This window comes from Homo sapiens, chromosome 17 (genome assembly GCF_000001405.40).
Source record: "Homo sapiens chromosome 17, GRCh38.p14 Primary Assembly".
Lineage (NCBI taxonomy): Eukaryota > Metazoa > Chordata > Mammalia > Primates > Hominidae > Homo > Homo sapiens.
The window spans coordinates 61,324,206-61,342,554 of NC_000017.11; the positions used below are offsets into that span (position 1 = coordinate 61,324,206).

Consider the following 18,349-nt stretch of genomic DNA (forward strand, 5'->3'; position numbering starts at 1 on the left):
GCACTCGAGAAATGTTTCAATCAGTGAGTGAATTAGAGGCGGGAGAGACCCTACCTCCTTTATCATACACATTGATGAAACTGAAGCCTAGAGCTAATATGTGAGGTGATCACACAGAGGATACTAGAACTAGGATTAGACTAAGGCAGAGATTCACCCATTTGACCCCTGCAAGGCTGATCACTGTCAGGGCAGGGCAGGGAGAGGCTGCCCCGAGTATGTGTGGTAGTATTAATATATGTACATGTAATATTTGTGTGCGTTTAATCCCAGTTCTAGTATATCCTGACTATGGTATATCTATATATATCCTGACCCCGGGTTGGCTGTGTGTTAAAAAATCAAACTGAAATCGCCTCCAAAAGGAAGGCAGCACTGAATGACAGTAAAGTAAGGGCTGGGCCTGGGGTCAGCAGCCTGGCGTCCAGCCCTGCCAGCCACTAGCTGTTTGACCTTGGCTGAGTCATTTCCTCTCCCTCATCTCATTTGCCTTGTTTATAAAATGGTATCCAGCCAGGCACGGTAGCTCACTTCTATAATCTCAGAAGGCGGGAGGATCAGTTGAGCTCAGGAGTTCAAGACCAGCCTGGGCAACCTAGTGAGACCTCATCTCTATGAAAAAAAAAAAAAAAGAAGAAACAAAAAAGAAGATGTAGACTGTGTGATCTCTGAAATTTCTCCATGTTCAAAAGTCTAACCTTCGAAGACTTCTAAGAGTTTTAGAAGAAAAGTTTGAGCTGCTAGAGGAGAAAGAGGAAACAGTTTAAAAATTAAGTTAGAGAGTTCTTGCAAAGGAGATGTTTTTGTTAGAGACACTGAAAATTCTTCTCTTAAAACCATTTCCACTAGAGGCCATCCCACCATGCACAGTTAGCCTGGGCTTTAAAACCCCGCTCCCTCCACTGCCAAATGAGTTGCTGATGGGAATTTTTTGAATGTTTGACTCTGTGTCTCTGTGGACCACAACAGGACCACAGGCTGTTACACAGTTAGCATTTAACTTACATTATGAAGTGACAGAATCGCACTTGTGTGGCTGATAGAGACCATTGCAAGTAACTAACAACCGTACAAATAGCGCCCTGACCTTTTCATATCTGTGGGGCCTGATTCTCAACCTCCATCCTGTCCTGCACATACTCGGCGTGGCCTCTCCCCACCCTGCCCTGAACAGTTATTAGGGCTCACAGGGCTTGCAGGGTGACCCTCTGCTCCAGGGATATGGGCACTGCCTGGAGGGTGGTGAGCCTTTCCTGGGAAGACCTGCACTGGCTCTCCCTGAGGGCTTTCCATACCAATTCATTCTTGGTCAGTGGCAGGCACATTTCACACTGAATTCCACCCCATGGGGCTGTGTCTAATTGGACAAATTTGAACAGCAGGCAGCACAGCCACTGCCGCAGGGAGCATTGATATATGGCCCAAGCAAGGGACTAAAATCTTAAAGTGACAGGGCCCCGTTTTCAAAGAATAACTGGCTGGCTTCCAGGAGTAACAGGCCTGATGATGACCAGCAGGAGAGAGATGGGCCAACTCCACAAAGCAGGGGCTTTTTTAGGGAGGTGTTTTTGAAATGAGTGTCTCCATTTTTCCTGGTCTTGGTGGCAAGATAAACAGGATAGGGTGGTCCCTGGGGACAGTCATCTGGGACCCAGTCATGCTGAATGTTTCTCTCACTAGAGACTCACTGTATCTGTATCCAGATTAAATCTGGCTAATATATACTGCAGGGAAGCCTCGGCAGAGAACAGAGTGAAAAATCGTGTTGTCATACATTACTAAGCACCCACCATTCATTTGTTTGGCATCCATCAAATCTCTATAAATGCTAACTGTGTGTGCTATTAAATGCGCACTGCCCGGACACAGTGGAGCTTGTGAAGTTTGTGGTCTAGGAGGGGAAAAGACATTAATCAGATAATCTCACAAATTAACATAATTACAAATTGTGTGAAGTATAATGAAGGAAAAATTCCATGTGGTATGAGAGCATCTGAAAAGGGTATGCAGGGAGAGTTTCCCTAAGGAGGTCCCATTTAAGCTTGGCTCTAATGGGTGAGATAAATCAGCAAAGGGAGTAAGAGGGGAAGAGGAAAAAGAAATGCTTAAGGAGTTGAAAGAGGGCCTGGGTGGCTGGAGCTCAGCACCTAAGCGGGACAATAGCCTGGGGTGACTGTGGGGTCTTGCTGCTCATGTGGACTTTAGTTTTATCCTAAATGAGAAGCATGTTTTCAGCAGAGGGTGAGTTTTGAAAAGATCACTCTGACCTTACTGTGGAAGACAGGAGACTGTTAGAGAAGTCGAGTAGAACATGATGGAATGGATTAGGCTGGCCCAGTAGCAAATAGAAGTGGACAGTAATGAGTGTTATTTAGGAGGTAGATTCCACAGGGCTTTGTTACGGAGTGGACATGGGTGGGTGGAGAGGAAGAGATGTTAAGGATGCTCCCCAGTTTTCTGGCTTACTTCACTCATTTGATGTCATTCACTAAGAGCTCCTAGTCACATGGAGGAGGAGGCTTGGATACATTACATTTCCAGTGGATTTGAAGATGTTAAATCTACAGTCAGATCTATGGGTCTTCAGCACAGAAGAGGTGTTTGGTCTAGGGGTTTCCTTAGGAAAGAATGGGGAGAGAAGAATGGGAGGTGATAAAAAGATGGATTGGACACCATCTCTCCCTTTAGGCAACTCAAAATCTATTTGTATTTGTTGTTAGAGGAAGAAAAGAAAAAAGAAATAACAAATAGTAGAAGGAAAAATATTTTTAAAGGAAATATAAAAGGGCAATAAAATTTTTAATTAAAAAACAAAACAGGCCGGGCGCGGTGGCTCACACCTGTAATCCCAGCACTTTGGGAGGCCGAGGTAGGCAGATCATGAGGTCAAGAGATTGAGACCACCTGGCCAACATGGTGAAACCTCATCTCTACTAAAAATACAAAAATTAGCTGGGTGTGGTGGCGGGCGCCTGTAGTCCCAGCTACTAGGGAGGCTGAGGCAGGAGATCACTTGAACTCAGGAGGTAGAGGTTGCAGTGAGCCAAGATTGCACCATTGCACTTCAGCCTGGCAACAGAGTGAAACTCCGTCTCAAAAATAAAATAAAATAAAAATAAAAATAAACAAACGTTTAAAAAATCAATTTTAGAGGCAATTGGACTACAGAGTCAAGGAGACATTTACAAGTTAATATAATAAATGTAAATGTTTATGACATCATAGAATTGTAATGAGACTATATTGAGGGTTAGATAACAGGCAAGTATGTGGAGATGAGGGAGCAAATAGAAAATGAAGCAAAATTTTTTTTTTTTTAGACAGAGTCTCACTCTGTCACCCAGGCTGGAGAGTAGTGTAGTGTCACAGTCTTGGCTTACTGCAACCTCCGCCTCCCGGGTTCAAGACATTCTCCTGCCTCAGCCTCCCGAGTAGCTGGGATTACAGGCATGTACCACCAAACCCCACTAATTTTTGTATTTTTGGTAGAGATGGGGTTTCACCATGTTGGCCAGGCAGGTCTCGAACTTCTGGCCTCAAGTGGTCCAGCTGCCTCAGCCTCCCAAAGTGGTGGAATTACAGGCATGAGCCACTGCGCCCTGCCCAAGATCTGACTGAATAACACAAAGGTGACATCCAGTTCAAGGAACTTAGTGGTAGGTGTGACTTTAAGGTTTGCAATGGTTGATCAGACACTGTTGGTGTAAATTGGTGCACCCTTTTTGGAAGGCAGTTTGGTAGTAACCATTATACATTAATAGTTTATTCTTTTTCACCCAGCAATTTATTTTCTAGGAATTTATTCCACAAAAATATAGGTAAAATTATTAAGGTATAGACAAAAGCACTGTTGTAACGGCAAAGGAAAAAAAATGAAATAATTTAATTATTGGTCTGCAGAGAGAGTAACAATAAATTTTAGTATGCACATATCGTGGAATAACCTATAGCTTTAAAAAAAAAACCTTAATAACATTTTTAAGTTTTAAAAAAGCAGGTGAAAAACAATGTGTATAATATGATCCTATAGAGAAAGAAAAAACTAGTAGAAGCATAAAGCTCCATTAACAGTGCTTGTCTCTGGGGAAGTAAACAACAAAAACAAACAGGGAATTCTCACTCTGTTTTGTGGTTTTATATAGTTAAAATAGTTTACAATTACCATTGTCAGTTAATTCAGACTGCTATAACAGAATACCATAGACTAGGTGGCTTAAACAACAGGAAGTTTATTTCTCACAGTTCTGGAAGCCAAAGTCCAAGATCAAAGTGCCAGCAAGCCTGGGCACAGTGGCTCACACCTGTAATCCCAACGCTTTGTGAGGCCGAGGCTGGCGGATCACTTGAGCCCAGGAGTTCAAGACCAGCCTGGCAACATGGCGAAACTCCGTCTCTACAAAAAATATAAAATTAGCCAGGTGTGGTGGTGTGCGCCTGTAGTCCCAGCTACTCAGGAGGCTGAAGTGGGAGGATCACCTGAGCCAGGGGTGGTCAAGGCTGCAGTGAGCCCTGATTGTGCTGCTGCACTCCAGCCTGGATGACAGAGTGAGATCCTGTCTCAAAAAACAAGACAACAAAAACAAAATGCCAGCACATCTGGTGTGTGCTGAGGACCCACTCCCTGGTTTACAGGTAGCCATCGTCTTTCTGTGCCTTCACATGGCAGAGCATGAAGACGCAGGCTCTTTTTTTTTTTTTTTTTTTTTTGAGACGGAGTCTTGCTCTGTCGCCCAGGCTGGAGTGCAGTGGTGCAATCTCAGCTCACCGCAACCTCCGCCTCCTGGGTTCAAGCAATTCTCCTGCCTCAGCCTCCCGAATAGCTGGGACTACAGGTGCCCACCACCACGCCCGGCTAGTTTTTTGTATTTTTAGTAGAGATGGGGTTTCACCATGTTGGCCAGGCTGGTCTTGAACTCCTGACCTCAGGTGATCAGCCCGCCTCGGCCTCCCAAAGTGCTGGGATTACAGGCGCCTGGCCAAAGCAGGCTCTTTTTCTAAGGGCACCGATCCTATCATGAGTACTCCACCCTTGTGACCAAATGTGCCCCACCGCCAAATACCAAAACATCAGGGGTTAGGGTTAATATAAACTTTGGGAGGACACAAACATCCAGGCCATGTTATTATTATTATTATTATTTTTTTTTTTTTTTGAGACGGAGTCTCGCTCTGTCGCCCAGGCCGGAGTGCAGTGGCGCGATCTCGGCTCACTGCAAGCTCCGCCTCCCGAGTTCACGCCATTCTCCTGCCTCAGCCCCCCAAGTAACTGGGACTACAGGCGCCCGCCACCACGCCCGGCTAATTTTTTGTATTTTTTAGTAGAGACGGGGTTTCACCGTGTTAGCCAGGATGGTCTCGATCTCCTGATCTTGTGATCCACCGGCCTCGGCCTCCCAAAGTGCTGGGATTACAGGCGTGAGCCACCATGCCCGGCCTATGTTGTTATTTTTCTAATCAGAAATAATAGTAAAGACTTTTGAAGAGAACAGAAGTGAGAGGGCAGGAATGGTGACTGACTATGGAATAGCTCCGGGTGAGGGTGAGGAGGAGGAAAAGGGGTTCCATCCTACGTTCGTCCTCGGCGCTCACCTCCTCCAAGCTTACCTGCAGGGCTTTGCTGCACTTATCCATGAAGACCGCAAGACGCCGCTTACCTGCTCAGTCTTCGAGCAGCTGTCCCTGATTATGAAGTTCAGAGTGGCTGTTTAACGAGCATTTAGTGAGAATTTCCTTTTAGCAGACACTGTTAGGCGCTAGAAATATAAAAATGAAGAAGACACCGTCCCTGCCCTAACAGAACTTATTGTTGAGGGGGAGAAATTGCCAAGTAAACCAATGTTGCAGTACAGAATTTAGTCTAGATGCCCGGAGGTCTCTTCTGAGTTGAAAAGCCTTCAATTCACTGAAGATGGTCTCTGAAATTTCTAGTTCTTTTCATAGGCTGAGAGAAGGGCTAAGAGTAGGTTTTTTATTTCTTCGTTTCTTCCTACCTTCCTTCCCTTCCCTTTTCTCTCCACCTCTTCTCTCCCCTCCCTCCCTCCCTCCCTCCCTTCCTTTCTTTCTCTCTTGAGACCTGGTCTTGCTCTGTCACCCAGGCTGGAGTAGTACAGTGGCGCAATCACGGCTCACTGCAGCCTCAAACTCCTGGCCTTAAGTGATCCTCTGGCCTCAGCCTCCCAAAGCACTGGGATTACAGGCATGAGCCACCATGCCCAGCCAGTAGTTTCTCACTTTCCCAAGTGTTCACTTTGAATTGGCCTGGGCCCCCAAATGCAGGCCTTCATTCCCTGGGCAGCAGGACATTCTTCTCAGTGGAAGGTTTTATGAAAGAGGTCAGCATGTGCCTCTGCGGCCAGTGGACTAAGTCCATGATGAAGCTGAGACTCACATTCCCACGCTATAGACTCCATAGCTTCTCAGACCTCCACAGCCACAGGCCCCCAGGAGTCCCCCTGCCCATCTGGCTATTCCTCAGAAACACACACCAGTGAGCACACAGGGGACACCTGAAGTGCACAGAGGACTCCGGCAGCAATGGCCAGGGAATGAGGAGACCCGAGTTCTAATCCCAGCACTATCACTGTACTCCATAGCATGACTGGGAACAAGTAACTTTCTTTCCCTGGGCTTCAGTTTCCTCATTTGCAGAATCAGCCAATGGTGGTGAATGGTCTCTGCCAGCGTTGACATCCTGTAATCATTGTCATTGTGTGACAGTTCTGCCATCTCTCTACTAGGTCAGGTGAAACCACCTCCCAAAGGGCCTCTCTGGGCGGTGAGTGTGCACTAGCACAGTGCCAGGGGAGCTGTTGAACAAATGCAACTCCTTGTTGAAAACTACTATAGGTGCTTTCCGTAGGGGTGAGAAAAGCATATAAGACCATGTCCTGCGTTCTGGGAGCTTCCAATTTTCCCAGAAAGGTCAGAGAAATACACATGAAACAGATGAAACAGTAGCAGCCCTAGAAGCCTCAGCACACAGGGGTAGGGGATGGAGAAGATGGGGGCTAGAGTGGGAGGGGGGCTTTTTGGCTGGACAGTTGCCAAAGGTTCCTGCTGATCTTCAGAGTTTTTCCTTTCACAAAGCATGTGACAAGTGCTTTGCCTTGTTTCATTCTGGGACGTTCTGTTCTCTGGATCTGTTTCTGACAGGATATGATCACTGGAGCTTCCAAAATTTCTTTGGGAGTGGGGAGAGGGTTGGCAAGCAGCCAGATGCCCCTGTCGCTTTATTTGGCACAGGAGGAGGTCACCAGGTTCAAGCCCAGAACTAGTTCAAAACTTTAGCCTCAAGGAAAAGGTCCAGGCCAGGCACAGTGGCTCATGCCTGTAATCTCAGCACTTTGGGAGGCTGAAGTGGGAGGATCACTTGAGCATAGGAGTTCAAGACCCCCCTGGACAACAGGGTGAGACCCCATCTCTATTTTTAAGTTTTTATTTTTAATTTCTTTTAAATGGAAGGAAAAAAAGAAAAAGGTTCAAATAATATAATCCTTCCTACATCCCACTCCTAGCAGTGTGGGAAAGTGAAAGGAGAATTCTTGTGACGAGAACTCATGAACACAGAACAAATTTGTGTCACTCCAGTCGAGCGTGGCTTCTCAGTGTGTACTCAGCACGTGGCAGGTGTGATTGTTGGCCTGAGGTGATGACCTGCCTGAATCCTCAGCCCATCACCAGGGCTGGCAAGAGCTTTATCTGCCCATAACTGAGCCCATGATGGGCTCGAGTGGTATGCTTTTTTGGGGTTTGTACCAAACCGGCCTTTTTCCCTGTTTCATCCTGTGCTGGTCTGTCTCTTTTGCATGTTTGGGCTAATCTTCTCCATATGCGTGTCTGGTTTGGCATGTGGGTCTCGACCTCCCATGAGCAGGGCGAGGCTGCCTCAGACAAGTGCAGAGAGTTGCCACCCAGCCCGCCGGGCTCTGGAGCTGGGCCACGGGCTCCTCTCTCTGGAAAGGCTCTGCAGAGAGACACCTGGATGGCTTCTCTTCTATGTTTCGGGGACATGAGAAGAAGGCATTCTTAGAACAGATACTGCCTGGTGACCCACCTAAAACAGTCTTACTAGGACAGCAGGCTTAAGGTATGCCCAGCGCTCAGACACCTAGTCATCCAGGCCCTGAACATCCTGCTCTGACTACAGCGTCCCCTCCCCTCCCTCCACCATCCGAGAGGTCAGCTTCCTTCACCATGGGAGCCCCTGCTTGCCATGTTTGTGAGGGGCAAACACTTCACTGGTTGGTAGGGCTTATGGCTCCATATTGAAAGGAGGGAAACAATTTGACAGCAAGAAAAGAATCTCCTAAAGAGACTGTTGCAGTTTTACAGAGTTCTTTCCAACTGATTGCCTCTGCTAATCTCTATACTACCCTGTGACATAGGAATTATTATCCCCATCTTTTATTATTATTTTTTTTTATTTTTTGAGATAGAGTCTTGCTCTGTCACCCAGGCTGGAGTGCAATGGCATGATCTCGGCTCATAGCAGCCTCCACCTCCCAGGTTCAAGCCATTCTCCTGCCTCAGCTTCCTGAATAGCTGGGATTATAGGCGTCTGCCACCACGCCTGGCTAATTTTTGTATTTTTAGGAGAGACGGGGTTTCACCATGTTAGCCAGGCTGGTCTCAAACTCCTGACCTCAGGTGATCTGCCCGCCTTGGCCTCCCAAAGTGCTGGGATTATAGGCGTGAGCCATGGCACCCGGCCTATCCCCATCTTAAAAAGGAGGCAGCTAAGGCTCAGAGAAGTCATATTACAAGTCTAGGGCAGAGCGGGGACTATATTCTGGCTTCCTGACTCTGAGTTCAGTAACCTTTCTAGAATACTGCCCTCCCTAAACCTACACTGCTGCAGCCTGGAGGTTCCACAAGCCCTTTCTCATAGACCCCAGCAAGGTGCTTTCTCCCTGGACCCCACTCACACCTATTTCTGGACCTTTATTGGCAGGTGGGTCAGAGAGGACACCTGTGTGATCAGAGAAACAAAGTCTGGTGAGAGGAGCAAGTGCAGTTATGCACAGGGAGCAGCTGGTCCCTCAGACCTTGCCAGCCACTTCTGCGGTGGTTGTCGGTCTTGGAAAAGCTCCATCTTCAGAGGGGTTTGTGCCCAGCAGCTGATCTCTGCCTGTAATCTTCAGAGGGCACCAGTTCTTACCAGACAATAGCTGTCTATGACCTCAAGCCAGGCCTAGGACAAAGTGGAGACGTCCTGTGAGGCAGGCAGGCCTCTGTCTCAGCATCACCAATAGCTCACCCTCCTGTCCACTCACATTGTGGCGCCCCCGACCCTTGCCAATCCCGTGCAAACCACGCAATGTCTGCCAGCGCTCACTGCCTTCCTGAGCCCAACAGCCCCTTTCTTGCCCACTAAACTAGCACTAGAGCTTTATCAAGTTCTTGAAACTTTCTTTTTTTTTCTTTTTTTTTTTTTGAGACAGAGTCTCGCTCTGTCGCCTAGGCTGGAGTGCAGTGGTGCGATCTCGGCTCACTGCAACCTCTGCCTCCCAGGTTCAAGCGATTCTCCTGCCTCAGCCTCCCGAGTAGCTGGGATTACAGGGGCACACTACCACACCCAGCTCATTTTTATATTTTCAGTAAAATGGGGTTTCACCATGTTGGCCAAGCCGGTCTCAAACTCCTTACCTCAAGTGATCCGCCCATCTCGGCCTCCCAAAGTGCTGGGATTACAGGCATGAGCCATGGTACCCTGCCAAGTTCTTGAACCTTTCTGGTCATTTGCTTCCCTGATTGAGAGATGAGTCAGCATTCATATATTCATTCATTCATTCATTCAGATATTAATTCAACATATAATTTGATGAGTCCCTAAGAGAGCCCTAGAGACTCAGAAAGGTAATCAGACACAATCTCAGCCCTGCAGGTCTTCACAGCCTAGCAAGGGAGACAGATATGTAGACAGATGATCATGATACAGTAGAAGTATCAACAAAGAGCTTCTGAGCTCATGTCAAAGCCATCTCCCTTGAACACAGATGAGAGAGGGAGGATATGGGGATCAATAGTTACTTCCTTAGAAGTCATGGAAAAAGCACGTAGGAGACAAGGGTGAGCTGGATGACCTTGGGCAAGTTATGTAACTTCTCTGAGTTTCAATTCTCTCATCTATAAGATAGGATGATAAAACCTATGTTGCAGAGTTATGTTGTAAGAATAATGGGCCGGGCGCGGTGGCTCACGCCTGTAATCCCAGCACTTTGGGGGGCCAAGACAGACGAATCACCTGAGTCAGGAGTTCAAGACCAGCCTGACCAACGTGGAGAAACCTGGTCTCTACTGAAAATACAAAATTAGCTGGGCGTGGTGGCCCTGCCCGTATTCCCAGCTACTCAGGAGGCTGAGGCAGGATAATCGCTTGAACCTGGGAGGTGGAGGTTGCGGTGAGCTGAGATCGCACCATTGCACTCCAGCCTATGCAACAACAGCAAAACTCCATCTCAAAAAAAAAAAAAAAAAAAAAAAAACACCAAGAAAACGATGTATCCAGTCATTGAGCCAATGTCTTACACATAATAGATCCTAAGAGGGCAAAGGAGCCACGACAAATGTTGAATTGTATTTTTGGGAAACCTAAGTGTCACAGGAACAGCTCACTGTAACAGCAACCGGTATTTATTAGTGCCCAGTAAATGCTTGACCCACTGATGGGCCTTGGCCCAGTAGCTAAGGCTGAGAGACCTTTACTGCACCTGGCCTTCGCAGAAGTTGGTCTGTGGATGGGGAGAGCCTGAACCTGCCTGAGGACTGAACCTGACTGAGGTCCTGAACCTGAGCACAGGACCTCAGTTACCTGGCCACTGTGGTCATCCCAGGGGCACCCAGAACAGACCGGAGTTCTTCCTCAGGCACATCACTGCCCCAGCTTTCAGCCTGGTGTCATTTTCAGCCCATTTCTTTTTCTCACCAAGTTGACTCAGCAAACTTCCCTTAGGTTCCCTTGCCCTTTAGGCAAGTCTGCTTCCACTAAAGTCCGCAGGCCTTGTGTGTGCTCTGTACGTTCACAGCAGCGATTCCTTCCCAGGGCTAGGAGGGGGACTTTCCCCTCTGGCCTAACATGCTGAATCGTCCTTTCCAGGGCACACTCGCAATGTGTCTATAGTCAAGGTCCCTAATGTTGCAGGAGCACTTCTTCCCCTCTGACTCAGAACTACTATTTTCTGCCTGTTGGGTCTCATCAAAGGGTCTGGGCCTTTTTTCCAGTTGTAAGACTCTCAGCAATGACGCCAAGATGCCCTTTGGCCACTGCTCTTCTACAGCTGCCTCAGCTCAGAGCTCCGGGGAGTCAGGGTCCCTGTGAGTCAGGTTTTGCAGGAGAGCATCCACTCCCTAGGACTGTGCCTTCTCCTCTGGGTGCTGACTGACTTCTCTGAGAAATGCTCTTCTGGGCCAGGTGCAATGGCTCATCCTAGCACTATGGGAGGCTGAGGCAGGAGGATCGCTAGAGGCCAGAAGTTCAAGACCAGCCTGGGCAACAAAGCAAGACCCCATCTCTAGAAAAAATCAGAAAAAAAGAATTGCCTTTCTGGCTTTGAGAGTTAATTGCCTTTCATAGAAACTGGAAGCAAGGGAGAAAAAGCAGCTTCTGGTTGTATTTTCTTCTCAGAAATCTATAAACTCCAATCTGGCCAAAAACGCAAAGCACCAGAGTCTGAGCTGGAGAGTGGGCACCTGAGAGGGTACCGCCCAGCCTAGCAGCTGTGGCTGCCTGCCAGATTGACAGCTGTCTTTAGACCTCACCCCAAGGGGCTGCCAGCCCCCCACCTCGGGGAGCCCTCGCTCCCAGCCCCCTTTCCATACTTTTCAGATACAGGGCGTGTCGGCTTTCCTTTCGCGCCTCCAGCTCCAGAGGCCCTGGCCCAGTGGTGCTGCTCTGGATCAAGGCCTCGCTAAACTCCCAGCTCCCTGGTTTGCAAAGCAAACTTCAGCCTTTTACTATTTACCTTGGCAAGTCCAGGACCGGATTGATGATCTGTAAAGTGGATTTGTTATTTGGCTGTTTGCTTTGGCAGCTCTTGAAAGCACTTTGCTGATTACAGTCCCAGATGTCATTGCATACATTACCCTGCTCTATAACGGGGCTTTGAACACTTTAATTTGAACTACAAATACTATTAAGCTTTTTGCACCTCTTCTGCCTTTAGTTCTTGGATATTAAATATCGGAACAGACAGCCTGCATTCTCTTAGGCTTCTTTCCCCTGGTCTTTGTCAGCGTCCTCCCACGGAGAGCTTCAAGCTTTCTTCCTGTTCTCTGTGGGTCTTTCTAGAAACCTTACCCACCTATGCCCACCTCTAGCCCAGCTACGCTGGCAGCAGCCTTGCCAGTTTTCACATAACAGGCTTTCTAGTTTGGAAGGTGCACTGTGTTCATGCCAAGCCTGGCTTCCCCGCAGTCACAATCCTTTGTACTTTGTACTGGGGCTTCATTTCATTCATCCACAGGGGTGCTGTATCCATTTTTTGTTTGTTTGTCTTAATGTTACTGACAACTTTGTTTGGGGAAAGCTAGATTTGGGGGCATGAATGTGTCATGTCATTTTGCCCAGAGAGGAAAAGTCTTGCCCAAGGTTACACAGAAAAGGCAGCAGCAGAACTTTATCCTTTCTGGCCAGGCGTGGTGGCTCACACCTGTAATCCCAGCACTTTGGGAGGCCAAGGCGGGCAGATCACTTGAGGTCAGGAGTTTGAGACCAGCCTGGCCAACATGGTGAAACCCTGTCTCTACTAAAAATACAAAAATTAGCCAGGCTTGGTGGCACGTGCCTGTAATCCCAGCTACTCAGGAGGCTGAGGCAGGAGAATCACTTGAACCTGGGAGGTGGAGGTTGCAGTGAGCCAAGATTGCCTCATTGCACTCCAGCCTGGGTGACAGAGCAAGACTCCATCTCAAAAAAAAACAACAACAAACTTTATCCTTTCTGAACTCCAAGCCTGATATTTCTGCCCAGGCTCCCTTTTTTATACTTTATTTAAATCGCCTCACCCGAGTGGAACAGGGACGTGAGCCATGTCAGTGTCTGTAAATAGAGGCAGTTGCAGGTTCACGTATCTTGGGAAGTTATTGGTGGAGAGCACTGGTGTTCCTGGCTAATGTGGGGTCTGTGATTCAGTGTTCTCCCAGGTCAGTGCTGCTTCCGTTGTAAATAAACCATTAGCTGGGGGCCTCACCTCAGGAAGCAATTTAAGGCCCAAGAGAGGTGGCCAAAGAAGTCAGCTTGCAGCCTCTAGGAGGAGACGCTTGGCTTTGCCCACAGCCCTCGGCCCCAGGTCTTCCTCTTGGAGCAACAAAATGCTCCCAGGGATCCTCCTGCCAAGATCCTGCCAGGCTTCCCTCGCCTTTGATTTGCCAAATTCCATGTGAACAGCCTCTGCGTCTGTTACTCTCCGAAGAAAATTACAGTTTCTAGTACACCTAAACTGAATGTTGGTGGGATTGTTTTTATTGTTTTTTTTTCCTTTTTCTTTTTGCGCTCACCCCTTAAAGGTCGTTTCTGATCTACTCCCTCTCCTCTAGCCTTAAAGTGTCCACTAGGTTCTTGGCTGAAACCTTTCAGCATTTCACAAGGTGTTAGAGACAGAGAAAGCCTCCTTGTTATGGAGAATTTGTGGTGTGCCTGTGAATATTTCCACCAGTCCTGCAAGGAAGATAGTTCTATCCCATTTTATAGTTGAGGAAACCAAGGCTCGGTGAGGTAAAGCGCTTCATCCAGTACCCCACAGCTCTAGGGTATTGTTAGTCTGGGTTCTGACTTAGGAACTGCAGCGTCCCTTCTGTGTTGTGAGCAACTCAAAGTTAGGTCGAATGTCACGCTTAATGTTGTATCTCAGTGACTAACCCTGGGCCCGGCTTATGTTATGTTAGGTGCCCCATAAATATTTGTTGGATGAATAACCATAAATCCACTCAAGTGGTTCTGATTTTAAGTGACTGTGTCATCCCTGTGGCCAGTCTCTGGCGGGGGCGGTAGGGGACAAACACTTTCAACTTTGAAATATTTCAGTTGAAGAAGTTAATTCACTTTGTAAGTTTACTTTAGGAGTAGAGATTATTGCAGTATTTTTGGCCACCGCTCTCAAATTCTTCTAAACCTTTACTATAATAAGCAAATTCAGCAGATTAAGGACATACTTAACTGCCAAATGGTGTTCTGAACTGTGTAAAGTTACCAGAGTCGCTTTTTTTTTTCTTATATAAAAGATTGTGTGGGTTCTGTGAACTTCTCTGCTTTTTTTAGCTCTTCCTGTTTTATTGTGTTTGAAGTATCTTTGTGGTGACCTGTTGGGATTGGATTCTTCCATATGGAAGTGTTTCTTTAACTTTTTAATCATTTCTTTTGGGAAGTAGGTTAGGGGTAGCAGATGTTGTTCTGGCATTGTTTGCCGAGTGGAGGTAGGGGCTTTTGGATCTGTGAGTCAGGCCAAAGCCAGCCTGGAAGAAGAAGGCTGTCCCAGGGGTGGGAGGCTGCCCATCACTGTTGGATCTGGCAGTGCAGGCCCGCGTGGGAGTCGTAGCTCCCTGTGTCCTCACTCTGAGTAACGCCTTTTCCATTTCCTAGGAAGAATACATTTTCCCCTGTGACACTGAAAAGTTATTTTTTTTCAGTGTCCCAAGGCAAATTCTTATCAGTCCTCAAATGGGAAGCCTATCTGGTGCCCTTACTGGGAAAAAAAAAAAAAAAAAAAAAAAAAAAAGCAGAAAGGAAAAACAGCAAATAAGATGAACTCTTCTTTCTCCCCCTTCATGGCAGTCAAGTCCCTCTTCATACCCCATTTCTTAGTGGGCCAAAGTTTAACATCTTGGTTTTGGGAAAAAAAAAAATTCACAAAGACCCATCTGCCTCTCCCATTTTCTCATGTTCTTTTGGACTCTATTACTCAATCAGTGACATGTGACCCCCTGGGAAGGTTGTTCTGTGGAGGATGCAGAAACTGACGATTGGCAGTCATCTTCCCAGCTCTCGGCTTCAACCCTGATTCTGACAGTGGCAGGCGCCACTTGCCCTTGGTCGGTTTTACTCCCTGCCCCTAGTGCCCACCTCTCCTTCATCCCAGGTCACACCCAAAAGCCAATGAAGAAAGGGTTTTGGTTTGGTGAGTGCACTGGCTCCCTTGGATCCAGGGGATAAGGATACAATGGGAAGGCCCATGAAGCCGCCTAAAGGAGCTCAAACTAGCATTTCCCTTGGCATTCTATTCCTTTCTTGACCAGACCAAGGCTTTGCAGGTAAACTAGGGAATCTCAGCATCTAAAGACTGAGGAGGCTGGAAACATTGGCTCAAGCCTGTAATCCCAGCAGTTGGGAGGCCAAGGTGAGCAGATCACCTGAGGTCAGGAGTTCGAGACCAGCCTAGCCAACATGGTGAAACCCCTTCTCTACTAAGAATACAAAAATTAGCCGGGCGTGGTGGTGCCCATCTGTAATCCCAGCTACTCGGGAGGCTGAGGCAGGAGAATCGCTCGAACCTAGGAGGTGGCGGTTACAGTGAGCTGAGATCGCGCCACTGTACTCCAGTCGGGGCGACAAAGCGAGACCCCATCTAAAAAAAAAAAAAAAAGACCAAGGAGATGAGTGGAAGAGCCAGTAAAAGAGACTGCAAAGTAGCGGCCGGAAAGATGGGAGGAAAACCAGGTGAGTGTGCTGTCCCGAAAGCCAAGTAGAGAGAGGGTCAACTATGTCGAAAGCACACTTGACCTGCTGAAAGATGAGGCCAGATGATAACTGAGAAATGGCTGTGGGATTCAATAATGTGGAAGTCTCTGCATTAATTGATTTGTTGAAAAAGAAACGGGGACGACATTAACTTTGGAAGAGCGGTTTCAGTACAGAGAGGGGGCAAAGCCTCATTGGAGTGTGTTCAAAGAGAGAAAGGGAGGAAAGCAGTTGTAGACAGCAAGTCCAGACATCTCTTTCAAGGAGTTTTGATTAAGGGAAAGAGAGAAATGGGGGCGGTAACTAGAAGAGGAAATGAGGTCAAGAAGGTCTTTCTTTTTTTCTTTTTAATGGAAGAAATACTAGCATAGTGATGGCAAGAGGGGGTGGGGGCTGGTGCATACATGGAGGGATTGACCTTGGTAGAAGGAAGGGGGACTGTGTATACACAGATGCAGGGGGTGGGTGGATTCCAGGACAGGACTTTAAATACCTTTCTGATGGCTTCCATTTTCTCGATGAAGCCGTCATCTAAGCCCTCCACTGAAAGCGAGAATGGTGGAGAAGATATTGACAGTTTGAGGGTAGAGGAGAAACGATGAAGTAATCATTTAGGAGGGTGAAAGAGTGAATGCGCTCAGGAAATAGCACTGGAGGGCAGCATTAAAGGTCCGTCTGGTGTGAGTGATCATCAGGTCAGGCTCAGACCCGTTAGCATGGTGTGCTTTCCTCCCTGCTGTGAGTCGCTGCGGGGGACGGGGAGTGGGTAGAAGTTGGATTTAACAAGGTTGTGGTTTCACCAGGCCGGTATGGCCAAGGGAAAGAGGGATGCAGAAGCTGAGAGTGTGTGCAAGGGACTGAGTCTAACAACTGGATGTGGTGGGAAGAGAGGACATGGAGTTGGGGGATAGTGAAAAGCAGGCGGGATCAATGTATTATACACCCTGGTGAGGCTGAAGGCTGCTTGGAATTGGGTTAGCAGAGGCAGAGAACCAGAAGGAGAAGAGACAACAGTCAGTGTGGGATATATGAGATTAGGATTGTGATGAGATTTGCAGTTATTGTTAATTCCATCAAAGGAAGAGCCATGGCAGTGAGTGGCAGAGGGGATGGAGAAGGGCGCTGGAAGGGAGGAGGGTCAGGGCCTGAGAGGCCAGGTTGCTGACAGGGTCATCTGTGTGAGTATGATCGGGTTAGTGTTGTGACACTGTTAGAGTGGCAGTGAAGCAGAAGCTGGAATCGTTAAGGAATAGGGAGTGTGAGTGTGCTGAGGGCATGGGGCGGGCACAGGAACAGACTGTAACAAGAAGGGGCAGTGGGTGGAATAATCTTACAACACAGTCAAAGTTGGGGGTTTTATGAAAGAAAGAAAAGTCTGCATCTACGAGGAGCAAAAAGAACATCAGCTCCCACCCTGGTCTAAGGGATGAGAGAGAGAAGTCAGCCACCACAGGAGAGGACTCCGGGGCAGGCGGTGTCCTCAGAGGAGAGCCTGGTATTTCCCCAAATACGGCAGTTTAGAATTTACAGAGAGAGTGAGCGTATGGACACTTCCTGTTCTATCTGATCCTTTCAGTAACCCTTCAAGTGGAGAGGCAGGTACATTATCCCTGTTAGGCACATAAAGACACTGAAGCTGGTGGAGCCGGAACACTGGTGCAGTGGCACTCAGCCCGCTGCTGATGGATCCTGGTCTTCTGACTCCAAGTTCAGTGCTCTTTCCACAGCATCATACTGCCTGCCTTTAGGAGGCCAGCAGTCCCTCCACAGAACCCCTAAAATCACACTCGATTGACAGTTGCAACTGAAAAGCACACCCAGTCCAAAGCCGCAATGGTTGTTATCACGCTGCTTCCATAAAGTGAGATTCAGCCCCCAAAGATGGGTTCAGGGAGTGGCAATCATCCGGCCTTTTCTCTGCGATACCCAAAATATCTTAAAGTCAGTAGCCAGTACTAGGACACAAGTGGGTACTCCCTTTCAGGGATGATTTGGATAGCAATTTTTGGATGGAAATCATAGTTTTAAGAAAGTTCCGAGGCCACAACTTTCTAGATATGATAGACAGAAAAGTGATTATGAGACGTGGACAGGCAGTGGGGGCAATCATGAACTTCGGACAGTGGTTTAGGGCTTGGTTCTTTTGAGACAGAGTCTCAGTCTTTCGCCCAGGCTGGAGTACAGTGGTGTGATCTCGGCTCACTGCAACCTCCACCCCTCAGGGTTCAAGCAATTCTCCTGCCTCAGCCTCCTGAGTAGCTGGGACTACAGGCATGCACCACCACACCTGGCTAATTTTTGTATTTTTAGTACAGACGAGGTTTCACTAAATCTCCATTCAGAAGCTACTCTGGCACCATACACAACGGTGCACAATTGAAGGGCTTGTTCTGCTCCTCCACATGGCACCTTTAGAAACGTCACTTCCCCACCTTGTGTGGCAACAGCCTTGGCCAACGTGCTTATGAAGAGCCATGGCAGGCTGGTCTTGAACTCCTGACCTCAGGTGATCCACCCACATCAGCCTCCCAAAGTGCTGGGATTACAGGCATGAGCCACCGTGCCCAGCCTAGGGCCTGGTTCTTAAGAACGCCATTCCCTTCTTGATCCTCAGGCCCAGTGAGTGAGGCAGTGTGGCAGTCCAGGACCTCCCAACGCCGAGCACATCCTCTCTCCTTC

At 47.8% G+C, this 18,349-nt stretch overlaps 1 protein-coding gene across 8 annotated transcripts in view, besides 1 other annotated feature; it reads left to right on the top strand.

Moving 5' to 3' along the window:
- The window catches only part of BCAS3 (BCAS3 microtubule associated cell migration factor), a 714,981-nt gene that overhangs the window by 646,355 nt on the left and 50,277 nt on the right, over nt 1-18,349 (top strand). The window lies entirely within an intron of this gene.
- Nucleotides 12,303-12,597: a silencer, noted in NCBI's record as "tiled region #10586; HepG2 Repressive DNase matched - State 5:Enh, and K562 Repressive non-DNase unmatched - State 21:Repr". NCBI's record gives its function as "represses a minimal TATA promoter and a strong SV40 promoter by Sharpr-MPRA in HepG2 and K562 cells {active_cell/tissue: HepG2 | K562}" and the evidence as "EXISTENCE:reporter gene assay evidence [ECO:0000049][PMID:27701403]".